General features: G+C 45.4%; 2 long non-coding RNA genes across 2 annotated transcripts in view, besides 1 other annotated feature; one reads left to right on the top strand and one right to left on the bottom strand.

Annotated features, from left to right (window-relative positions):
- The window catches only part of NCAL1 (NK cell activity associated lncRNA 1), a 282,375-nt gene that overhangs the window by 186,122 nt on the left and 70,572 nt on the right, over nucleotides 1–25,681 (bottom strand). The window lies entirely within an intron of this gene.
- On the top strand, nucleotides 844–21,496 carry LOC107985909 (uncharacterized). Its single transcript, XR_001739579.3, has 2 exons — nucleotides 844–11,551; nucleotides 14,062–21,496. It is a non-coding gene; the product is annotated as an uncharacterized LOC107985909 (long non-coding RNA).
- Nucleotides 24,205–24,706: an enhancer, noted in NCBI's record as "H3K4me1 hESC enhancer chr2:87826545-87827046 (GRCh37/hg19 assembly coordinates)". NCBI's record gives its function as "activates a minimal SCP1, AML or CMV promoter by ChIP-STARR-seq in primed H9 embryonic stem cells {active_cell/tissue: H9 hESC(primed)}" and the evidence as "EXISTENCE:reporter gene assay evidence [ECO:0000049][PMID:30033119]".

Here is a 25,681-nt window from a genome sequence, read left to right as displayed (position 1 = left end):
TACATGCCAAGAACTCTTTAAGAATTATATAATGGCTAACATAATTCCAAGAACAATACTATGAGGTAGGTACTATCACTGTTTTTTTTCATTTTTATTTTAAGTTCACGGGTACATGTGCAGGTTTGTTACATAGGTAAACTTATGTCATGGGGGTTTGTTGTACAGATTATTTTATCACCCAGATATTAAGACTAGTACCCATTAGTTATTTTTCCTGATCTTCTCCCTCCTTCCATCCCCTACTCACCCAACAGACCCCAATATGTGTTGTTCCCCCTAAGTATCCATATGTTGTCATCATTTTGTTCCCACTTGTAAGTAAGAACATGTGATACTTGGTTTTCTGTTCCTGCATTAGTTTGCTAAGGACGAGGGCCTCTAGCTCCATCCATGTGCCTGCAAAGGAAATGATCTCATTCTTTTTATGGCTTCATAGTATTCCATGGTGTATATGTACCACATTTTCTTTGTCCAGTCTATCATTGATGGGCATTTAAGTTGATTCCATGTCTTTGCTATTATATAACTGTCTTTTTTTTCTTTTCTTTTCTTTTCTTTTCTTTTTTTTTTTTGAGATGAAGTCTTGCTCTGTCGCCCAGGCTTGGGTGCAGTGGCGGCAATCTCAGCTCACTGCAACCTCCGCCTCCCACCTCAGCCTCCAGAGTATCTGGGATTACAGGCACCAGCCACCACGCCGGGCTAATTTTTGTATTTTTAGTAGAGACGGGGTTTTGCCATGTTGGCCAGGCTGGTCTCAAACTCCTGACCTCAAGTGATCTGCCCTCCTCAGCCTCCCAAAGTGCTGGGATTACAGGCGTGAGCCACCGCACCTGGCTGTATCACTGTCTTTTTTAACAGACGAGAAAACTGAGACCCAGATAATTTATGCCCAAGTCATACTTCTAATATGTGTTGAAGTTAGGACTAAACCAGAAAGTTTGGCTTCAGAGTCCACACATGTTTCTGTATACCTCTAGAATACATGGTCAATGTATTCAGATTATCAACTGTTTTTATTTGGAGAGCTCAAAGAAAAGTAGAGAAAATACAACCCATATCCACAGAGCCAAATGGACAAGTCTAAAGTCTAAGGGGCTCCATGGTGCTGTCCTCACCATACATAGAATTTCTTCATTTGTCACAAATGGCAATGAGGACAAAGTAGAGGCCAAAATCAAGCATCTTTCAGTTCAAGCTTCAGGAGAAGGGAGAAGGGACAAGAAAGAGGATAAGATGAAGTGGTGGGATCTAAAGCCCTGCAAGGCCTGAATGTGTCCCCTTGAAATGTATATGTTGAGACAACTACCAGTGTAATAGTATTAAGAGGTGGGCCTTTAGGAGATGATTAAGTCATGAGGGTGGAGGCCTCCTAGATGGGATTAGTGCCCTTATAAAACAGCTGCAGCAGAGCTTGCTTGCCCCTTCCACCTTGTGAGGACACAGCAAGGGGCACCATCTATGAAGTACAGAGTGGGCCCTCACCAGACGCCAAATCTGCCTGCGCCTTGATCTTGGACTTCCAGCCTCCAAAACTGAGAAATAAATGTCTATTACCTACAAATTACCCAGTCTAAGGTGTTTTGTTACAGTGTCTCTAGTAAACTAAGGCAAGCCCCAGCTGGAAACATCCATCTCTGCTAAAAGTGCCACAGGACCTGGAATGAGTAACAGACTCTTTTCACATCTTATCTGCAAGAAGCTGGGTTCTGTGTTTGTCTCAGCCTGGCCCTGCTCTCAAGGTTAGCATTGCACAACTGGAGGAGGTTTTGGTGACTTCTGTTGCCCACCTTGTTCTCTCAGTAGAAGAGCCAGACCCCAGAGAAGGGAAGAACACCAGGTTCACAGTGGAGAGAGAACAACCCCCCATTCTCCTGCTGAGGCTGCACTAGGGGTGAACCCCACCCCACCCTGTCCTCTGGGAAGCCCCTCCTGACTCCTCCCTCTGCAGTCAGGCTGTTTCCATTCACAGCATGTAGTCACAGCACCATTCCCAGTATATTTTTGGACACTAGTCCTGGCTGCATTGCCAGGATATGGGGCCCTTGGGTTTTCCCTCTGCTACAGTGCTGGCCTGGCTGGATGGAAAAACAGGTAGGCAAGGGTTCACCCCTGAGGATAAAAGGGATATAAGCCTGTGGCCATCCTGGGGGTTATAAGCCTCTCCACTCCTGTCTTTTTCTGTGGCATATAACAGAGCACTCGAAACCAGGCATTTATTATTTTCTTCTGGAGGCCAAGAAATCCAAGGTGGAGGGGCCACATCTAGTGGGGCTGTCTTGCTGGTGGGGACTCTCTATAGAGTCCTGAGGCAGCACAGAGCATCAAATGGCAAGGGGGCTGAGCATGCTCACCTGCTAGCTCAGGTCTCGCTTCCTTTTTTATGAAGACATCAGTCCCACTCCTATGATAACCCTGTGATTCATAAGGGAAGAACCTTCATGACTCAGTTACCTGTTAAAGGCACTGTCTCTCAATACTGACATACCGAGAATTAAATTTCAACACATGTTTTGGAGGGGACAAATATTCAAACTCTAGCAACTTCCCAGAAATTGACTCATTTCTGTTTCCTATGCAGCAGCTTCTTTACCTTTCAAAGGATCTGGTCATCCTAACTCCAGGCTGCTGAGACGGGTCTGAGCAAATCTAAACTGTGTCCTGGATTCCTGGAGACAAGCTTCATGCAAACCCCAGCATGAATGTCTCAGACTCGCCAGACCCTGCTTAGCTGGCTGGTTGTCTGAGAGCACAATTAGAAAAGAAATGGCTCTGAGGAGACAGAGGAGATGCGTAGCTAACTCTCACACACAATCTCACATACACCCACCTCACACCCTCACACACTTCTCAGACACTCACACACTCAATCTCCGACACACACACACACATTCAGTCTCACACACACAGCACATTGCACCAAGCATCTCCAGGTAGAGGTAATTAAAAGTTGATTTATGTCCTTCTGAGGCACTAAGACTGTAATGAATTTCTCCATGTTTCTGTGATTGCTTCTGTAAATGGGGATGCTGGCTTTTCTGGGGAAAAATATGGTGAAATAAATCTAAATTTTGCTGCAGTAAATATATATTAAGGAATATGTAACATTGGCCTGGATATTACAGGAGTTATAAAGAAAAAGCCACCTATGTGCTTGCCCTATACCATACATTTCCTCCATGATTACAGAAGGTGGGGAAGCATTTGCCTTTGTAAGTGTAGTGGATGGAGTTGATGTGAATCCAGATGCATCAGCATTGGAGACAAATAAAGGACAAACCTGGCAAGATATGATGAATCTGTGCTCAATCAAAATTCATTCACCTGAATTCCAATTGGTTTATTCTTGCCGGGGTAAGAAATGGAACAGAAATCACAGGCATTTCAAAAGGTCATGTCCATCCAATCATCAACATTCTCTCTGGATGCCTCTCTAAAGTGCTCTTCTCTAAGTTTACCCTTTTATATTTTGTCTCTGAAACATGGTAGGTATCAGAATTAGTCCTTCACAGTTATAAATGCTGCTGTGTTCAGAACAAAGTCTGATCTTAGTTTCTGATCTCTGAACCCACAAGGGGTGTCAGTCTGTGTCACTCCAGGCAAGTGCTTTCATGTCTTGGGGCCTCAGCAAATAATGAAGCTAAAGCTATAGCAGCTCTTATAAACAAAGATAGATCCAATGATTAAATCTAAATTCATCAACCAGAAACACTCATTACTATTCAAAGTGCCCAGGGCCACCAAGAATTCTTCTAATAAACTTTCTTTCTGAGGTTCCTATGTCCTAAAAGCCACATGTCACTTATCAATAATAATAATACACCTTGCCATTTGAGGTTGACCAAAAATGTACTTAACTATAAAGCAGTGCTTCTGATGAGCAAGAGAAAACCTATGTCTGCAGGAAAACTATGATGTAATTCCAACCAAAAGTAATGACATTTAAGATTTGTGTTATGAATAACTGTATATTTTATGCTTGGAAAAATACATAGTGCTTATAATTTATAGAAGCTGCCATTTGACCCTGTGCTACCCTCATAAACGCTTTTGGGATTCAGGAGCCTTGAGCTGGGAAGTACTGGGTCTGGTGTTTTCTAAGGTTCTGGCATTCTATGCAATTTGGTCTAAGAAATTCTGGCTGCCAAGGGGAAAGGATATCAGGGACTCTCATTTCTTGCCAGTGAGAATGTCTAATCTTTGTGAAGGTCAATTTTGGAATACATTTTAAGAACCATAAAGTGGGTATAGAAGAAGTTCTAGTTTTAATGATGATGGAGTATCCTCCACTGGCCCAATCCTCCTGCAGATAAGATTTATAAACTCTGAACAAAATATTTTTTAAAAATTGAAAGCACTGGCAGAGAGAAACTGGAGTTTGACCTTTGAAATAAGGAACTGCACCCGTGCTTCCTATGCTTACCCTGTTTTTATCTAAGGGCTCTCTCTAGTCCGCCAGGCAGAAAGCTGTGATCTTATTGCTTGAGGTGTCAGAGGACAGAGTTTGGGGCTGCCAGAGTGACTGGAAATTGAGGGGGATAAATCCTGGAAAGAGCTAAAGTTTTTAAAGCTGAATAATGATTTCAACCAATTGCCCATTGCTCAATGATTGGGAGACAGATTTTGGAGTTTAAATCCTATCAATTTTTCCAAAAGAGCTGTTTGGAAACATCTTGGGCATTTCACTAAAATCCTAGGAAGGGGTCATACCTAAGAGTAATAACTATGCCCCCAGGATTAAAGATCCTCCCTAAGACTAAGGAAAAATCTAAATAGGCCTACCCTAAAGAGTATAAAACCAAGGTTCTGCAACTTTAAGGTGACATTCCATAATTAACTGATTGATGTTGCCAAAGGAAAACAATAGAATCCAGAATCTCTAAATCTATTATCCACAAAACACAGTATATAATAAAAACTTATAAACATGCAAAGAAACAGAAAAAAGTGACTCATACTCGAAAGAAAAAAAAAGTTAATAGCAACAAACTCCAAGGTACTCTAGGTGTTGGAATTAGTAGACAAGAATTTTTGAGTAGCTATTATAAATATGTTCAAGGACATAAAGGAAAATATTTTAATAATGAAGGAACAGATAGAAAATCAGAGAAGAAAATAGCAACAACTTGGGGTAAAACAAAAAACAAAAACAAATAGAGCTTCTAGAACTCAGAAATGAAAATTTCAGTGGATAAGCCTAACATTAGATTGGAGGCAACAGAAGAAAAGGTCAGTGAACTGGCAGAGAGCTCAATATACGCTATCCAATCTTAAGAACATATAGAAAATATTTTTTAATAAAAGAGTATCAGCGACATCTGGCATAATATCACATAGTTTAACATATGTGTAATTATAATTTCAGAAGAGGAATAGAGAGAAAATGTAATTGAAAATGTCTTATATTTGATGAAAAGCACTAACTTATAAACCCAAGGATCTCAAAACACTCCAAAGAAGATGAACACACACACACAGAGGGCACACACACACTCACACACACATGCACAACACAGTCAAACTGTTGAAAAATTAAGAGAAAGAGAAAAATCTTGAGCAGCCAGAGGCACATTACCTGTGTGGGGCCAATGATATAAATCATATCGGTTTTTTTATCAGAAGCAATGAGGTCAGAGATGACAAAATTTTGTGGTAACGAAATAATAAATGCTGAAATTCTATGTCCAGTAAAATATATCATTCAAAAAATGAAGGTAATATAGACATTTTCAGTTAAGTGAAGCTGAGAGAATTCATCACCAGGATATATGAAAGAAAGTTCTTCAGGTTGAAGAGAAATGACATCAGATGGAAACTTGGGTATTGAGAATGGAAAGCAGATACCAAGATGTTAACAACCATGGATAGGTAAAATATGTGTGTAACCATAAAAGACTACTCTCTTTGTCTTTCTCTAATTTCTTTAAAAAATAATTGCCCATTGCTTATCCCTGTTGTCTATGTCATGTTATGCAAAGTGTATTCTCTAACTAAGTGGGTATTAGAAATCAACAACCATATAATATCTTAAAAATTTTCATGCAAAAATTAAGTAACACACTTTTAGGTTTATCAATATAGACTTAAAAATAAAAGCCTAAAACTATAAAACTTGTGGAAGAAAGCATAAACGATCTCTGCTACCTTGGGTTAGGCAAAGATTTCTTAGGATACAAAAAACACTACTCATACATTAATTATACATTTATTTTAGTAATAAATTTATTTTCATGAAATTCTTCTCTTTGAAAGAAAGAAAATGAAAAAGAGATAAGCCAAAGACTAGGAGAAAATATTCACAATATATTTATTTGGCAAAGGACTTATATCAAGTATACATGAAGAATTTCTATAAATCCATAATAAAAAATACATGGCCAAATATAAAAATAGGCCTGGAACAGCCTAGAGATAGGTCTAATAAAAGGCCTAAAACAGACACTTTGCAAATGGTCAATAAGCACTTGCAAAGGTAGTCAACATAATGAGTAATTGGGGAAATGCAAATTAAAACCAGAACTAAATGCCGTTTCCCATGTACTAGAACAGCTCAAATTATAGAGATTAAAGACACAAACTGTTGGTGAGGACATGAAGCAATTCTCATACTTTGTTAGTGGGAACATACGCCACTTTGGAAAATTATTTAGTAGTTACTTATACATTAAACATCCACTTATGTATGGTTTAGCAATACTTCTACTTTCCAAAGAGAAGTAAAAACACTTGTCCACAAAATGACCTGTACTTGTTCTTACCAGCTTTATTCATGATACAGTAGTCCCTGCTTTTCCACAGTTTTGTTTTCCATGGTTTTTGCTACCTGTGGTTAATCATGGTCCAAAATTATTAAATGGAAAATTCCAGAAGTAAACAATTCATAAGTTTTAAATTGTGCCTTCTTCTCAGTATCATGATGAAATCTCGTGATGTCCTGTTTTATTCCACCAGGGACAGTGATACTCCCTCTTTCCAGTGTCTCCACGCCATATACACTTCCCACCCATTTGTCACTTAGTAGCCCTCTCAGTTATCAAATCCACGGATAGTGTCAATACTATCCACAGTCAGTGTATATAGGGGTCAGTACTGTCCACAGTTTTAGGCATCTACTGGGGAGTCTTGGAACCTATCCTGTGGATAGGAGGGGGACTACTGTACTACAAAATTGGAAATAGCCCAAATGGCCATCAGCAGGTGAATGACTAAACAAACTGTGCTATAATCATACAATGAATTACTTCTCAGCCAATCTGGGGACACATACAAGTCACCTCGGACCTTAATGCTGTGCCTGTGGTGAGAACAGGTCATGAGCAACCCCAGCCATAGACACCTAGGCAGGGACCCCATGAGGGTGGCACCTAAAGACCAGGAGGGAGAAGCTCTTCTTCCTTGGGAGGCCAGCCCCTTCTCCCCAGATGCCACAGGGCACACACACCCACTTCTCCTGGCACCTGGGCTGCATTTTGGGAAAGGAGGGGAGTGGGGAATCCTTGAGTGGCATCAGAAACTTAGAACCTTAATGAACGTAAGTTTTAATACAGTAGAGATTACTAATCTTTAGTTAGTAAAATGAAATATTTTGTTGCCACCAATAGAAAGGGGCTGATATGGTTTGGTTCTGTGTCCCCACCCAAATCTCACCTTGAATTGTGATAATCCCCATGTGTCATAGGAGGGACCCAGTGGGAGGTAACTGAATCTTGGGGGCAGGTTTTCACCATGGCATTCTTGTAGTAGTGAATAAGTCTCATGAGATCTGATGGTTTTATGAAGGGGAGTTCCCCTGTACATGCCTCTTGCCTGCTGCCATGTAAGAAGTCCCTTTGCTCTTCCTTCGTCTTCTGCCATGATTGTGAGGCCTCCCCAGCCATGTGGAACTGTGAGTCCAATAAACCCCTATCCTTTATAAATTACCCATTCTCAGGTATGTCTTTATTAGCAGTGTGAAAACAGACTAATACAGGGACCTTAAGTGTAAGACAAGTTTAGACATATACATAAAAAAATTAAAGTTAAATATTTTTGCACTTCTGACATGCAGCTGAGCTATGCTTGTGTTTCTAGAGGAACTAAATGTCAGCGATGGGCTCTGAGAGGAGGTGAAAGGAGGTAAGAGGAGAGACCTGAGTGTCCAGAGACCGCAAGCACTCCACGTCTAGATTTTCAGGTTCCTATTATTATTATTATAATACTTTTAAGTTCTAGGGTACATGTGCACAATTGCACATGTAATAAAAATGCTACAGCAGGTCTCATTGAGCTGTCTTAGCTTAAGGTAAGCAATGCTCCCTTTGTAATTCAAGTTAATCAGTGCAATTTTGCCTCCAGAGAAAGGCTGTTTTCCACACTGACTTAGTATGGGCTCTGAGAAACAATATGTCTGCATTTTCTCAAATATTACAATTTATGGTTAAAATAAAATCTTGTTATTCTCACGAAATCCTGAAGGTCTTTAAGTGTTTTCCTTCCATGTCAGAGTCCAAAATCCTGGAAAGGCCCTGGTCTCTTCTCCAGGAAGGAATGGCAGGAGGAACCTCCCCTTCACCCTCCCCTCACCCTACCCACCCCGCCCCCTTACCATCAAGAATAACCAGTGGATGAGAGGGGCATGCCAGTGACCTTAGATTCAAGATAAAAGCACGTGACATTCTTTCAAAGCCAGATAATTCTATAGACAAGTTGGAGCTTGGGTGAGCAACCATCCTAGTTTCCCCAGGGCTATTTGGGTGTTAACACTGAAAGTCCCACATCTCCAGAAATGTCTCAGACCCAGCAAGCAAACCAGGAATGGTTCTCCTGCCAGTAGGTCAGGACTTGTGGGTCAGAGGTCCTCCCTGCCCCCAGGGCAGCTGCCTCCTCTCCTGACCGTTGGAAAGGGCTCTGATGCACTGATCTACACCCTGGTTCTCCGGGCTGTGTGTTATCTCTGACAGCAGCCCCTGTGCCGCCAGCCTACCACCCCCACACCGTGTTAAATTTCAACCACAATCTGCTGCCTTGGCTCTTCTTGGTATCTCTAGCCCAACGACAGCAGGCTACTTCCCAAGAACACCGAGAGTTTAGAAAGTTTTTTGTTTTTTTGTTTTAACATCTTTGAGTGATCTGTAAATTTACTAACCTATCAATTCTGATGATGGAGTCTCTTTTCTTTGTTGTTGCTGTTGTCTAAATTAGAGCTATATAATTCCAAAATGCTTGAACATGATATGGCACCAACATTCACTTCACTACCCCAAGCTTTTACCCTCAAGTAAAAGATGAATTCAGGAACATGAGTTTTTTTGTTTAGTTTCTGGTCAGTGGGCATCCTGGTGGGGTAAAACATAGTAACAAGAAAAGGAAGAACATGTAGATGGTCATTGCTTTTCAGGTGCATTGCAGAGGCTTCTCTCTGAAGGGTGACTACAGTTCTATACGGCCATGTCAGTCCACCGGCATTCATTCATTCATTTATTCATTCATTCATTCAACACATATACATTGCTTGGCAAAGTGCTTCTGAGATGCAACCAAAATAAAAACCCTGCCAGGATTCATTATGGCTGTGGTCTCCCTGTACTAAACCTCACATCCATTTTTGTATTTGATGTGTCCTGCAAACTGCTGTGTAAATGGGAGTTTTATGAGCAAATAGAAGGACCTGGCAATAATGCTGCCGTCTTAAGGAATAGAAGAGCCTGTTGTTGCACAATAGAGAGCCAGGGACAGAAATCGGTGAAATCGGCTCCAACACTGCCCCCCCCCCAATACACCCCAGGCACACTTCTGCTTGACAGATGCCAAGGCCTTGATGCCAGGACTGGGTTTCCAAGGCACCAACCCATTTGTAAGGTGGCACTACAAGGATTCCTCAAGTCCTGAATTAATTCCACATAGCAGACAATCCTGCATCACAGATTTGGAGTGCAAGCAACAGAATTTGCATCTGTGAACTCCAGCAGAGGGCCTAGGTGCTAACAGTTCTGGCAGTTCTCTGAGCCATGCAAAAGACTGGGTCATCGAGTTTGGGAATGAGATTGCTAGGGGCCTGAGAATAGGAATGGCAAAATGTGGTCAGAGTTCATTGCTGAGGTGAACAAGTAAGCTCCCAAGTCTCAGAGAGCAGCATCCCAGCCACAGACCATGCTGGCATGTACCAAGAAAGGAGAGGCAGCACTGGTCCTCTTGCTCCTGCGTAGGCTGGCATGTGGATCCACCCCTTCTCAAGGTATCACACAAGTGCAGGGGCCAGAGGAAACCAGGGGCTGCAGAGGTAAGGGTCAATGTGGGGTGGCCCCAAAAACAGCTCTCCTGACAAAGTTTTGTGGCTTTTTTTGTTGCTAGGCTGCTTCAAGTATCACTCAGGGATGTAGAAGACTGTCTCATAGGTCTTAACTATAACTATCTGAGTCTGAATAATGGCTCCCAAAGACATCCACAAATCCCTGGAACCTGAGAATGTTACCTTACACGGCAAAAGGGACTTTGCAGATGTGATTAAGTTGAAGATCTTGAGATAGAGAGGTAGTCCTGGATTATCTGAGTGGGCCCTTAACGTAACCACTGGGGTCCTTATATGAAGGAGGCAAGAAGGTTAAAGAAGGGATAGCCATGTGACGATGGGGCAGACACTGGAGTGATGGACTTTAAGTGGAGGAGGGGTCCACAAGCCAAGGAACGTTGGCCATGTCTAAAAGCCGGAACAGACAAGGAAGCTGATCTCCCCAAAGCCCTGCCGAAACCTTGACTTTAGCCCATTGAAACAGATTTCAGGCTTCTGGCCTTTGGGAACTGTGAGAGAATACATTTGTGTTTTGTGTTAAGCTACCAAGGATGTTAGAGCAGCCATGGGAAAGGGGTGCTGTTTGCATGAGAAAAGCAGGAAGACAGAGAGAGGAACTGTGTCAGCCTCCTGGTCTGTGGGGAGCCACATCCCAGGAACCCCAACCTCTGCCTTTTGCTGGGAAACATTCTCCCAGTCTCCCAGTCTGAAACACCTCCCTCAAATCCCAAAAAGACAATGGTGGGAATCCTCCGAGGTCCAGCAGAGCCTTGGGACAAGATGCAATCTTTCGCTAGCCCCAAGTGGGTGGGTTCACCCACCCTCAGCTCCAGCAGGTAGGCCCTTCTGAATCTCAGGCTGGCTGAATAGGTTCCAGACGCAGGAGGGAGCCCCCCCACCCCCTCTGGCAGCTGGAGTGTGTGCTGGAGATCTGGGCATGGGCTTGCCCAGGCAAAGAGTGGAGAAGCTTTTATAGGAAAGCTGTAAAAGCAAGCAGGGTTGACTTGGGCACTCCCCCAGTTCCCATGAGTCTGGGGCCCATGACTGGCTCATCGATTGCTTGAACAAGCACACATCAGAGACATCCAGATCAGAATGGAAGCTGCTCAAGGCTCAGATGATCCCTGAGCCACCAACGTTATCCTGGAGGTTCTTATCACAGAGTATGGGAAATGCCATACTGGGCTGTGGGTTTGCAGAAATCCTCCAAAAGATGCAGAAACAAGTCCAGCTGAAAATGGAATGCTTCCTGATGGCTCATTTTGTTCCAGCCTCAACCCAAAGGTATCTATCACAATATTTCTTGTACAATGGGTTGTGCAGCGGGGGGAAGGGAGATGCTTTACAGGCATAGTGTGGGGTGAGGTACATTTCGTAACAGCTCTTGTTTACTGAGATGGCTTTCTACTGACAAAGAAAAAAGTCCCGAAAAGAAGGGGGCCTGTTAATTGTTTGCTTCCTTTTGCTTTTTTGGTTACAACAGTAAAAACTGTCCTTCAAATTTAGTCCCAGAAGACATCAGAGTTTGACAATGACAAGTGGGGAATAGATGTTCCTGGGCTATCAGCTTCGCGGCTCCCTCCTCTACATGTGGGCTCGGGGACACAGAGCTGGTCCCTGCCCAGTCTCGGAGGCCAGAGAATCAAGTTCTGGGTGTGTGAGACTGATGGGACAGGCTTCCTCTGACCGAGTTGGGCAACTTGGGGCTTTTAACTGCCTTGGGAATGAGGGTGGGTGCCTTAAATGAGGAACTAAGACAGGCCCTCATTTCCCAGCAGGGATGCCGCTCAGCCTGCAGAGTTCCCCGTTCCCAAGGCTTGTGAAGCAGGGGACAAAAGAGGGGCCTTCCTCAGGACACTGTTGTGGGGTGGGGTGCTCACTCGCTCTCCTGTGTCCATGTACTCCTCTCCCCCTCTACTTCCCTCTCTTTGGGAATCCCTATGGGGCAAGTACAGGGAGATGGGAAGAAGTGGGTGGGATGGATCTGGGCTAATGACGAGGGCAGCCTCTTCCCCCCTCGGGTCTCCCTCCACCCTCTTCAGTCCCTAGTACCTGCTGGGACCTGCCTCCTTAATAGGTAACCCCTACAGCTCTCCTCGGCCAGTCTCTGCACACTGCGCCCATGCGTTCCCGATGCCACTGCCCTCAGAACATGCAGTCAGAGGCTCTGGGGAGCTAGAGGTTCAGGTGGGTGTAGAGAACACCACACATATCCTCCCAGGGCAGCCAGGACATCCCACGGGGAGGCAAAGAGGGTCCTGTCCTGGGCTTCCTCCACACTCAGACCACTTCCTCACCTGCCCACCAAGCAGCAGTGTGCATGGTTAATGGAAATTGGCATCTCTTCCATCCATGTGAGGAACCACCAAGACCTACTAGCTAGGTTTACGATCCAGGTTCTAGATACCAGGGGTTAGGAGGGAAGAACCCCCAAGACCTACTAGCTAGGTCTACAATCCAGGTTGTAGATACTATGAGTTAGGAGGGAAGGCCCAGGAGTGCCATTCCCCAGGTTCAAATTCCAGCTCCAAGACTCACCCTGCGTGTGCCCTTGCATAACTCAAGGTGCCCTCAGCTTCCCCATCCTTAAATGGCAAGGTTTCGTACTTGCCTTTAGAGCTGCTTGTGGGGATTAAATGATACCTAGTTGCCAAGGGCTTTGCACCGGCCCTAGTATGCGGTAGTGCCAGTTACAGAGGAGGAAACAGAGGCTCAGGGAGATTGAGCACCTCGACTAAAGAGAGGAGTGGAATTTCAGTCCAGGAGGTCAGGCTGTCTTTCCGAGAGCCGACACCCACCAGCCTTTGGTGGGCTTGAGAACACGTGGGGCCTGCCATCCACGCTGCTGGTATGCATCAGGTGGTGTCAGGTGGGTCCTCGCACAGTGAATCCTGAGCAGAGGGCAGGGGGACGAGGGGGCGGCTGGAGCCCAGTTCGCTTTTGCGAAGCACTTCCTGAACTGCACATTCGGTTACCACAAAATGAGTCAAGGTCCCTTTTAAGTGGCTTGCTGAGCTTCCCTCTGATCTGGCACTGTCTCCCTGGGATGGCCGGCAGCAGGCTTCCCTGACGAGCTGTCAGGCCTGGCACCGGAGCCCCTTCCCTGGGCACCAGCTCTGCACGAGCACCACTTCACTCTTCCTCATGACAATTCCATGAGGCAGGGGCTGGTCTTGTTTCCACTTTAAGTGGGGAAACTGAGGCTCAGAGAGGTTGGGTGAGTTGCCTTGGGTCACACAGCTTAGTCAGGTTCAGAGCTGCAACCTGAACTCTGGCCTGTCTGGTTCTTAGCTGTTTTGCTTGCTCTTCTGCCTGGCTCATGGCAGTGAGGAGACCCACGCTCACCTTCGCTGCCTGGGTCAAGTAGCTGCCTGGGACCTCTCTATGGACCCATTTGCAAATCAAGGATGGGGAAGTGAGGTTGTGGGGATGAACCATTAGAAGCAACTTCTCATGTCCCAGAAGGAAACAGGGGACTGTGCTTTCCAGGATGAAAATACAAGGGCCCCCTGATGGACTAGTGTCCTCCCTATGGATTGAGTCCCTCTAAGAAATGGGTTGCTCTCCCCACAAACAGGCTTAGCTTAAAGACCTTGTGTTTCCTGGGCAAGAGAGGCACCCACAAAAGGCCTTCACTAAAACCTGGCTTCAGGCCCAGGGCCCTGGTCCGGATGCAGAGGAGACCTCAGCTGGGAAGGGTCCGTCCTCCTGGGGCTTGGGGGGTGGGGGTCATGCTCTCCTGGAAATGGGCTGCCCCAAGACCCACATGAGTCTTACCCCAGTGTCTCCTTTAGGGTCCTGGAGCAAGAAGGAGGGATTCCCAGTGATATCTGGTGAGTAAGAGAGAAAAGGAAGCGGGTACATCCAAAAACACAAGCACAGTCTGTGAACACCGTCAGACAAGAGGGCCTGAATGGCGCCTGTGGTGATTGGGTCTTTTTGTTTGCTTTTGTTTTTGTCATTGTTGTTTTGAGTCAGTTTAGGAGTTTTTTTTTAGTAATGACTACTGGGAAACTCAGAGGGAAACACATACACACACACACACACACACACACAAACACATGAAAGAACAACAATGCGGGGTGATGACCACGGCTCAACCAAACGACATTTTCATCATCCTGACACATCTTGTTGAAACGGAAACTGATCTGGGCCTAAAGTCCTCACATCATTTTTCCTGATTCTCTTTGTCTGTTTTTAAAAGTAACGTTCAATTAGAGAAATAATGCATAGCCCTCCTTGTAAAATACTACAACGTGATAAATAAGGCTCAAGAACTCCTTGGCTGCTGTCTGGACCGAGGGTCCCTCCCCAAGCCAGCCACTGTGCTCTATTTTCTGTGGGTCTTTGCAGTCTGGGTCGAACTTTTTAAGCATTTCATTGCTACTACTTAGCTTTTGAGAGTGGGTTCAGCGCTCGTGACTGAAGCATATGCTTAGAGAACAGTGTCCCTGAAGTCAAATCTCAAACTTTGCCTCAATGCCTCTTGCCTCAGAAGGGCCCAGAAAGGTCTGAATTGCCCTGAGAGTTTTCCTCCAGACAATAGCTCAGCCTTCTGTGCCCAGCCATGTTTGCAAAACTTTCTCACACACCCCTCAGCTAGTCCTCCACAATCTAAGCCTAGGCTGCTGGGATACACATTTCTATTTTGCAGATAATGAACAGAAGTCTCCACAGAGTTAAGAGTCTTATACAAAACTACCTACCCTGGCTGGTTTTTCCACTATAGCAGGGACTCCTTTCCTCCAAGTCCCGCCTCCACACCGAGGTCTCAGGTGTCGAGGGCCTTCCAGGCATGAATGTCCCACACCCGTGCTCCTGTCAGAGTCCTCACACTCTCTGACCAAGCTGCCTAAGTTCCAGGAAGCTCTAGGCCTGTGTTCTCCCAGGGAGGGGGGCTTCCCATCTAGTCCCTCAAACCAGGAGCCCGGGGGTATTTGTGAGGTTCTGGGAGATTCTAGGAGACCATAAATACCAGACCTTTAAGCAAGCATGGTCAGCAGCTGGTGATAAAATTGAAGGAAAGAGACACAGCAGCCTGCATTTCAACCCTGCCCTCTCCACACCCTCCAAACTGAGTACCTGGGGTTGCAGGGAGGCAGGGCCACCAAAGTCCCCAGTGGGACCGCAGTGTGGCTCTGAGGACGGAGCTGGATATTGTAAGGTTGGCAGCAACTCAGGCCAGTACTCTCAAGTGGGAACAGTTGGGAAAACAGGTAGAAAGAAAAGACAGCATGAGAATCTCTAGGACGGGAGCCAGCGCAGTCTTCCCAAAGAATATCGTGCAGACATGCTCTGCACACAAACCTTCCCTTCCTAGAGATCCAGAATATCTAGGAAGATTCATGTTCATCAGCATTATGAAAGCCCTGAGAAGTCCTGCAGTCATGGAATAATATAATAATAACGATAATAATAGCCCAAGGTTTTCTAAACTTACTAGTCCAGAGAATTCTTTTCTAGCGAAATGCCTATTGCTGTCTCCCCATGGAGCACATGTTGTGACTGCTGGCCTGGCCCATCTGGGGTAAGGAGCGATGTTGGTCACAGTGCTTCTTAAGCAGCTGTGAACTTCCACAGCCTCACTGCAATGGCCCTGGCCCCCAATCTTACTTCTGATAGGTTAGACAGATGCAATGTCTAAAACCCTCAATTACTGATAACACTTTTAGTGATGACTTAGATCTCAAACTATGGGGTCTCAAACTATGGCCCGTAGGCCAAATCTGGCCCTCTGCCTGTTTTTAAAAATAAAGTTGTATTAAAACACACCTTCTGCCATTCCTCTATGTATTACCGGTGGCTGCTTCATGCTACAATGGCAGAGTTGAGCCATTGTGATAGAGACCATGCAGCCCAGCAAAGCCTAAAATGTTTACTCTCTGGTCTTTAGAAAAAATGTTTGCTGAACCCTGGCTTAAACAGAAAATCAAAACTCACCTGAAGGACTGGTTCTGTAAAGTCTCAATAGCATGGGAAATTTAGATTTAAAATCTCTGCAATTTGGACCAATCCACGTTCTGCCGTGGTTGTGTTGTTGATGTAACGGGCCCAGACTACAGCTCAAGTGTAGACAAGGGTGTGTGTGTGTGTGTGTGTGTGTGTGTGTGTTCATGGAGAGACTGGGAATGGGAACAGGATGGGGAGGAAAGAGAAATGCTTTATGGCTTAGGAATATTGAATTCGGAGCCAGAGCAGGGGAAGTTGTGCCACCCTATAAGCCTCAGCTTTGGTTGTATGAGAAACCTGGAGATAATGTAGCTGATGGCACAGGGTTGTTGTGGGCAGAAAATGAGCTCCTGTGAGCAGAGCACCTCTGCTGTCTCTAGGAGACTCAGCAAGTCCTGGGGACTCCTCCGCATTTCTTCTTCAGTGCCCAGGGTGCATTAAGTGCTCAACAAACGGGCTCCTATTCGGGAATTACTCAAGCGACACACAATCTTATTTGGGGAACAGACAATATCTGGGCAAGATAAAACTTCCCTCTTTCCTTTCAAGGTTGGACATTACGTGCTAATTTGGGTCATCTCCTGAGTGTGACCTTCAGCCAGCCATTGGTCACCTTACGTGCAAGTAGGGCATGAGTGGCATTCCATGTATAAACCATGTGACAGCTCGGAAAGCAGACGGTCCTGTAAGTGTAACCCACAGACTGAAAATGACCCATGGCAAAGGGCAATGCGTGCATGATTTTTATGCTGGAATTCATGATGGAACATTCTGGATTCCTCCCAGCAAACCTGAGCTGGCCTGCTCTGTTGGGCAGCGAGGTCTGCTCAGAGAGACGCTGGTGTTTATCTGCCACATCCTTTAGTTTTTATTGCACTCAGTCGCCTTGTATATTTAATGAGGAAATTTGCTGAAATGGTTACTAAGCCACAGGGGGAAAAAAGGAAGGAGGTGGGGAGCCACTCTCCGACCCTGAAGTTGGCAAAGTTGCCTCATTAATCAGACCTGTGCTGGGATACGACGTTATTCATGTTTAGGGCATTAAAACTTGAAGCTAAAATTGTAGCAGGCGGTAATTTGAGTACAGGCAGCCTGTCTCTCTGCGATAGATTTATGATGTTTACTCAACAATGGATGGGAACTTTCAGGGAAAGACTGACCGCCCCCAACCCCCGCCTTTTCAAAACACATTGTCAGGCCACAGTGATCAAGTTCCCGATTTTTGTGTGAGTATGCAGAGCCTTTTTAAAAGTCTTCAGGGTGATAAGAGCAGACTGTATTCGATCTTCTCCATTCTGAGCTCAGCGGAAAATATGCAAGGCAGATGGAATGAGCTGTCTACCAGGCGAATGGTGGTTGCCACGCTCTCTGACTACACTGCTCTTCCTGACGTGACCGGTGCAGTGCCACCCCCACCGGCCTTGATGTTGAATCTGGAACATCTGGTCACTGTGTCACCTCATCAGGACCTCAAAGAATTCCCGACAAAAGCTTTCATGTTCCCGGCTGAGGGTCTTGCTTTCCTGTGCTTCAAGGTTACAATTCTTGGAACTGATTGCTGGGAATTTCAGGAAAGTGAGGGTTCCCATTTTCCAAGTTTTCCCACCTCCTTTCTGTCATGACACACAGACAGATGGAGGCCACATCCATCTCTGTCAGTCCAGGCAGACTTTGCCTTCAGGTCTCACATAGCAAAGGAAGAGGCATCAGCCTAGCCTTGGGTCTTGCCACTCAGATGGGAAGCCCTTTCTGTAAGAGGATTCCTTTAAGATGTGGCACAAAGAACATTTATACTGCACTTGGACAGGAAGGCCCCCAAGTGCATGAAAGCACTTTAGAGTGTTCATCTCCTCTCCCTGGCACAGGTGTAGCAGAGGTGAGACCCAGTTCTGGTCACTCTGGCTGTTAGCTTTGTTTTTAGCTTTGCTTTTAGCTTTGCCCTGGGCCTAGTGTGTTGGTGATGAATTGCAGATAATACCACCAACCACATAGGGCTGTTTTGCAAACTAAGTTGACATTTTAAGCAGTTTGGTTAAACAAACTGACTTTGAGTATGGGCTCTGCCACCTCCTAAGGGAGTCATTTTGGGTAAGTTACTGGCTCCCTCTGATCTTTATTTCACCATTGTGAGATGGGATGAAGCTATTATCTGCCTCACTGGGCCATTGCTGAGTATGTGGAAGTGCTTTTTTTTTTTTTTAAAGACAAAATATGCTAGTAGATTTTCAATAAATGTTAGGTTCTATTCTCAATATTATGGAAAGATGCACTTCTTGAATTTGGGGAAGAAACAAAGGAGATTGTATTTTATGCCAAAGTCATAAGCGCTGACGCATATCAAACCACAAATATTTCTATCATCCAGGCTGTGGGGGGATCAACATGTCACCCCATCATGTGACAGTTAGATAAAGGATATGAAAGTCCTGCCTAGAGTGGACACTATAATTTTGTAAGCTTTTCTTTAAGAGGGTCTCTGACTTTTCAGTCTTCTGTGTTTGTTTTGTCATTTAAGTTCATGTGCTGCAACAGATTTAAAGTAGACACTACTTCCCTCTGCCCTGCCCGGCGGTTACACATGAGAATTTTTCAGTTTGAACTAAATACAAGGAATATTAAGTTAGACTTAAAGAAATAGCCCCCAACTTGCAACAAGTGGGGCAGTAAATAAAGGGAGCCCTTTTCTACAGGGGCTGAATGGGAGAGGAGAGCTAAAGGAGTTTGGGAGGTGAAAGCAACTGTAATGATTTATCATCAGGGAAGACTTATTTACCCATGGAAGGAATACTTTAAAATCTACCTTTCTCATAATAAGGTATGTTCATATGCACAGCACAACTTAAATACAAGTATTTATGTAGTTTTGCAAGGAGCTTGCAAGGTTAGAAACACACACCACATATGAACTATGTTCAGTAACACTACCTATGCAGTCTTTGAAAAACTTCTATAGATCATCTGGCTAGGGAACTGTGAGTCTCATCTGTACCCACACGATCCCAAAGAGGAGGGGCCCTATAGAAACAAGAACCAACCAACAAAAAGCAGTGACAACAGGCACCATGACAACAAAAGGAGTTTTGAAGTGCATCTTCAAATAGCACACAATTTTCCAATTTAAATAGTTTGGAATGAATCAAAGGGAAAAAAGCATTAATTAGATACAACTGAATTTCTCGAAAGTATATTAACACAGCCTACAAATAAATCCTCAAATGTACCACTCTCAACAAATCTTGCATTGACTGACATTCTCTGTCAACTAGAGAGGATGCAGGCAGGAAAATGAATGAAATTTCCATTCTTCAGTGTTTACCTGATGTCTCAGGTTGTTTGCTTTGGGGGAGTGGCTGTTTGCAGGGCTATGGGAATTTGTGAAACACTTTGCTAGTAAAGCCAGCTGAGGCCTTCGGGACCAAATCGCCAAATGAATGACAGAGGATCCTTGCAGTAGCTTTGTCTGTCTGCAGAGCGGACTCCTGTGAGTGTTCATCACATTTAAAGAAGTAACATGCCGGGAGAACGGAAAAGGGTGCTAATGATTTACAAGCGAAGATAAGATATTATTAGGAGTACGAGGTCAATCAGATAAAGATACCATACACACAACTTGGACTTGGGCCCATTCTTTAATTTATTCTGAAAGGAAGAGGAGGAGGAAAGGATGGGGCCTGAGAATGTTAGCAATTGGCTTCCCGCAAGCTGCCTGTTTTAACACTCTTTGTGATTTATTTCAATCTCATCTTTTACAAAGGTACGGCAATTTGTTCCATTTTCCTGCTTCCTTCTCCTCTTCCTCCTTCTTCTAAGATGGCAGAGAGAAACTTTCTTACAGGTCCCAGCAACACTGCCGTATAGCTTAGAAGACTGGAGATATTTATTCTCAATGTACTCAGTTTACTTTCCAACTGGAGCATTATTTGAAAGACGGTCTGCCAGCATTCAACTGAACAGACACAAATGCAGGTATGAATAGTGAGGGGAGAGAGTGGTTTGAAGGCTGGGGTTGCTGTCAGGTCTGATGAACCCTCCAGCACTCGCCATCATCGGCTACAATGTTGAGGAGACTCCATCACAACCTCAGATCAAGAGTGTTTCTTTGTTCCTCCAAGCCTTCCAAAGCACTTTATGGACCTTGTATTTGGACAACACCTCCATGAAGCTTGGAAGCCAATAAGTCACATCTTCATTGAACAATTCATGAAATTACAGGGCAGAGGTGAAATATGACCTTCGAGGGAAAAGCTGGCGGTGGAGCCCAGAACTTCATTTTGCTGGGATGGTTCCCTGCCGTTATTCTCCTTTCTCACGAAAGGATCCTGCAGTCAATTTACGGCATTTGTAAATAAAGGCGGCTGTGTCAGCCTCCTGCCTGGAGAAAGGAAGGCAGCACCTTGAATGCTGAGAGTGTATCTCAGGCTTACTCTATACTTCCATTACAATATCTCAGAAGTTATAACAGATGAAGATGGGGCGAGGTGGTCAAGGTAAGACCGGGGTCAGCAGGGCAATGGCGTGTGAGGAGTTTCTCATTAGAAAACACAAATGGGGATTTGGATTGGTTGTTTTTCTTGTCTCAGAAATCTTCTTCAGAATGACCTCCCCACCCCTGCTTTGTCTTTGAAAGTTTTGCCATGTTTGAATTGGCATACTTACACATTGTAATGATTTTTCTTTCATCAATTAAAAACAAAGCTATTTTTTGGCCAAGTGTCTCCTGAAGCAAAGTTAAGAAACAGAATAAGAAGGTTTTGAGTCACGCACAAGACTGAAAATTAGCTAATAAAAACCCTTTTCCCCCCTATTTCCTCAAAACTCAGTTCTCAGAAAAACAATTCTGGATGCACCCTGTTTACCAGCAAGGTTAAAAGTTCAAGAAAAGAAAGACATCACAATATTTACACTCAGGCAAATCACTGTTCATCTACCACGTCTGACCCTGCAGATTTGGGAGCGGGCCGCTGTCCTGCCTGTCAAAGGGAGAGGAAGCAGTGCCTGTCTGGCTGGCCCTATATTTGCTCCTGTTGTCTCACTCTCTGCCACCAGTTTTGTTTTTTGTTGTTTGTTTGTTTTTGTTTATTTGTTTTTTCTAAGACTGCCGGCATCCCTTCTTTCTAGATCGTCTTGTCTTTCTTTTGATATTTTATTTTCATGGATAAGATCGCTAGGACCCCATCAGAGTATTTTTCTGATGGCACGATGCTACTACTTTCTGATATATTTATTTCATTCTCAATATTTGAATCTATGAAATAAAATAATAGTGATAATAGCCACCATTTATTGGGTTTGTGCTTTGTGCCACGCATCATGCTGAGTGGGTTTGCACATTATTGCAAAGATCCCTCTGTGCTGCTGGGGTAGGTGTCATTCTCCCAGTTTATGGCTTTGGAAACCAAGGCTCAAAGAGCTCCAACAACTAGCAGGAGGCTAAGCAGACCAGACCTGGGCACTTCTCCACTTCCTTGGCCTTCCAAGAGGGGCCCCAGCACTGGTCTTCAGTCTTCAGACCTAGGTCATTCTTGCCTCAGGGAGAGACAGATCGAGGAAAGTCAGGTGGTTGTTAGCTAACAAGAGCAACGTTCTTCCAGAGGGGCAACAGGTGAGGGCCAGGGCTGAGGGCCATGCGGGCAGTGGGCAGGGAGCTCCTGCTTCTGGAGGCCAGGTGGGCCACCCCTCCACCCATCAGCATCTTGCAGCCAGGCAGATCCCTGCGGAGGCCCGACAGTGACAGAAGGAAAAGCCCCCAGCAGCCTGGAATTGGCCTCACTGAGAGTGTCTCCAGGGAGAAACATACTGGGGATGCCAGCAGCCCAGAAGGCTGTAGAGGGAGCTCATTGCTTCTCCATCATAGTCACTGCACACAAAAGTTGGAGCCAGAAGCATCCACAAGTGCCCCTATCCAAGCAGGGCAGGAGGAAGGAAATCCATTCAGAGATTCCTGCCTCCCAAAGCCTGACTATGCAGTAGGAGCTAGCTGGGCTAGAGAGACACAGCCAGGGCCCATCCTCAACAGTCAGGGTGCTGGGTGGATCTGGTCTATGCTTGCTGCCTGTGGGCCTGAGGCCCCGTCCCACACAGCAACACCATTGCACCCAGTGGCTTCCCAGTGCAGCCATAGTGGATGCCCAGGGACAGACAAGGGTGAGACCCTCCTCCCCACCAGCTCCCAAGGCACAGACATACCACAAACATACATACTGCATACACACAGAGGCTTATCCTGTGGTGGTGCCATGTGGAGCCATGCTTGAGTCTGCAGTGGGTCTGGGAACAACCACAAACAAGCTCAGGAAGCACACATGGCATCACATGTCACCTATAGCCACTCCACACACCAACACACATGCACACAGGTACCAGCATATACCCACCGCACACACCCACACACATCACAAACACCTCACTCCATATGCAACATATGCAACCCACCCCCAGCCACACACAATGCACATGTACCACAAACATACATACTGCATACACACACGTGCTACAGAACCCTACTCTCATACTGCACACGTCATACCCACATCCAGCCACATCACATACTACATCCATGCACACATCCACTAAGACACCCACACTTATATCCGCCCATGCATTCCCGCACACCATACCACACCACACATGCAAACACACAGGCATGTATGCACAAGCATACACACATACCATAGATGTGCACTCACAGATGCACGCAACCACCCCACGTGCATACAGGCACCCATGCACCAGACACCCCGTGTCCTCTTCTGCACCCACACCTGTGTCACACATGCAGGTACACAGAACCCATAAGACCATGTCTCACACCCATACCCACACACCCCAAACACACATGCTTGAGTGCACACTTTCGTTCTCACCCCCCCATGGCTGACTCTGCTTCTAGTAAGGCAGCCTTTCCAGAACTGTCGAGGAACTGCCAAACACCCTTTCTTTTAGAGATGACCGTGTGTTGAGGAGTCAGTGTTTGTAAAGCAACTTCTTGGGGAAATATAATAGCAGATATAAGGTAATATAAGTGAGGGTATCCAAGCCAGATAGGAATCGTCAAGCAAGGGCACGCTCGAGAGTGAAAGGCGGAGCTGAAAGGAATTATGAACTCATTTCTAATAGGCATGGACAGGACCACCTTGAGTGAACTTGGGTACATGGTCACCTCGCCTACAGGGACTAGGGACAATGCTTACAGAATCAGTGTGTCTGCTGCCTATCAACCCTCTCGGATATAAAATAATGGGATAGGAATTGGTGGCGAGGGCTGGAGGTAGAAGAGTCGTAGTTTTTGATGGTATATTTTCCTGATTTGTGCATTCCCTTCTCAGCTTCCCTTCTGGCAGGTGGAACTCATTTCTCACTAATGTCCTTGCTGCATGTTGGTGATTCTCAAATGTTCCATCCCCCGCTCCATCCCCATGGAGTCCTGCCTGGGGGCCCAGGAGTCCCTGTCTGATGTTTCCACCCTCTGACCAGTGCCTCTGAAGAATAAAGACCGAATTCACACCTCTAGCAGGTACTCAGCACCTAGCTGAGGCAAGCATAAAGAGCAGAGCTAGCAACTGTGACAGCCCCCTGGGATCTTGCTGAAATGCAGATTCTGGTGCTAGGGGGCCAGGGTGGGGCCTCTCCCTTTTTGACCCAGCAACATCTATTTATTTATTTATTTATTTAAATTTTTTTGAGATGGAGTCTCCCCTGTCACCCAGGCTGGAGTGCAATGGCATAATCTCGGCTCACTGCAACCTCCACCTCCTGGGTTCAAGTGATTCTCCTGCCTTAGCCTCCCAAGTAGCTGGGATTACAGGCACACACCACCACGCCTGGCTAATTTTTTGTATCTTTAGTAGAGACAGGGTTTCACCATGTTGGCCAGGCTGGTCTTGAACTCCTGACCTCGTGATCCACCGGCCTCAGCCTCCCAAAGTGCTGGGATTATAGTTGTGAGCCACCGTGCCCGGCCACAACATCACTTTTGAGTAGTGGACAGTTTTCAGAGAACAACATCCACCCTCATCCCAGCCCATGTGGATCCTCACACAGCCCTGGCGGGAGGCAGGGCCAATGGAAGCCACCAGTGTCCCCTTCTGAGGAGATTCCAGTGGGGTCTGCAGCAGGAAGGGATGCCAAGTGCTCAGCACCCATCAGTCAACTTCCAGTCGCCCTGTTTTCAGCCATTGTCTGGTGTCACCCTTCCCAACTGTTGCTTACCATTCACAGTCCTTTTTAAGGAAGAATGACATTTGATTTTACACACCTACAAAATACAAAATGGCAGCATAATAGAGGGATAGGGAGAAGCTCACTGCTCTGGACTTAAATATGGGATGCAGCATCACATGACCAGTTTTGTGATATGGGAAAAATTGATTGTCCTCACTAAAACTCAGTTTTCTTAACTGAAACAAAGGGGTGATCACCTTGCCTCTGGGGCCTGCTATGCGCACTGGAAAATAACATTGTAAACCACCAAAAATGTCTCCAGAGAAAGCTAGAACCTTAGATGGTAGCTGGGATGATTATAAAGGTGCATATGTATTAATCCATCTATGTAGACAATCATCACTGAACACACTAAGTACCCTAGACCTGAGTAGAGTGAGGCTGAGGTTCATGCGGGAGTGAGGGAGAGGGAACTGAAATCTACCCCATTCCAGCATGGGCACTCAGGACAGCTTTCAAGGTCCTGCTAAGTCACGTAAAGCATGAAACAGACCATGATTCCAGCAACAAGAGCATCATGAGGGGTAGGTGGATCTCTAAACGGTAATCCAGGTCTTGCATTGGAGACAGCAGTCCTCCCTAAACACCTGTGAGGCAAAGCCAGCTATTCCTTCCCATGGACTCTCTTCTACTTGCTTCTACTACATAAAAGCAAATATGACTCAAAAGTACTTTAGTTTTAATAAAACAGACATTTAAATCTGGAAATTTCAAGTAGAGCCATTTGTCAGAAAACCTCAGCAAAAATAAGCATGATGCAGCTTGTCTAGATCTGAAACCCTTGCCGCTTTGATAACTAAGTTAAAGAACTCAACACGGGGGTAGGCTTAGGTGAAGCCAGATAGGGCTGTCTCAGCCACAGTGCATTTCTGAGCCAAGTGCTCACACACGGAGCAGGGGAGGAAAGCGGAGTGTTCCCACTAAGTTTCATCTCCACCAGGTTAGTTTTCTCTTCCTGCCATTTTTGATACCGTGAGAACATGTGGATCCAACAGCTTCTCAGGGGAAGGAGCTGCCTAAAGCCCATGCCAGAGAGCCCACATGCGGCCCTGTCAGCCTGGTCGTGGGCACAGAGCATGTGGGTCAATCCCATTCTTGCTGTAGTTCAAGTATGTGCAGATCTCACTTCAGACAAACTTGCAAACATCTTAGAGATACTGGAGAAAAAGGGAGAGAGTCTGGAAAGCTGGGAATAAGCAAACACCACCACCATTTTCCAGAGGAATGGATTCTAAAAACTAC

Source organism: Homo sapiens, chromosome 2 (genome assembly GCF_000001405.40).
Source record: "Homo sapiens chromosome 2, GRCh38.p14 Primary Assembly".
Lineage (NCBI taxonomy): Eukaryota > Metazoa > Chordata > Mammalia > Primates > Hominidae > Homo > Homo sapiens.
The sequence above is the reverse complement of the archived record's forward strand: the minus strand, read 5'-3'. Positions and strand labels throughout refer to the sequence as shown.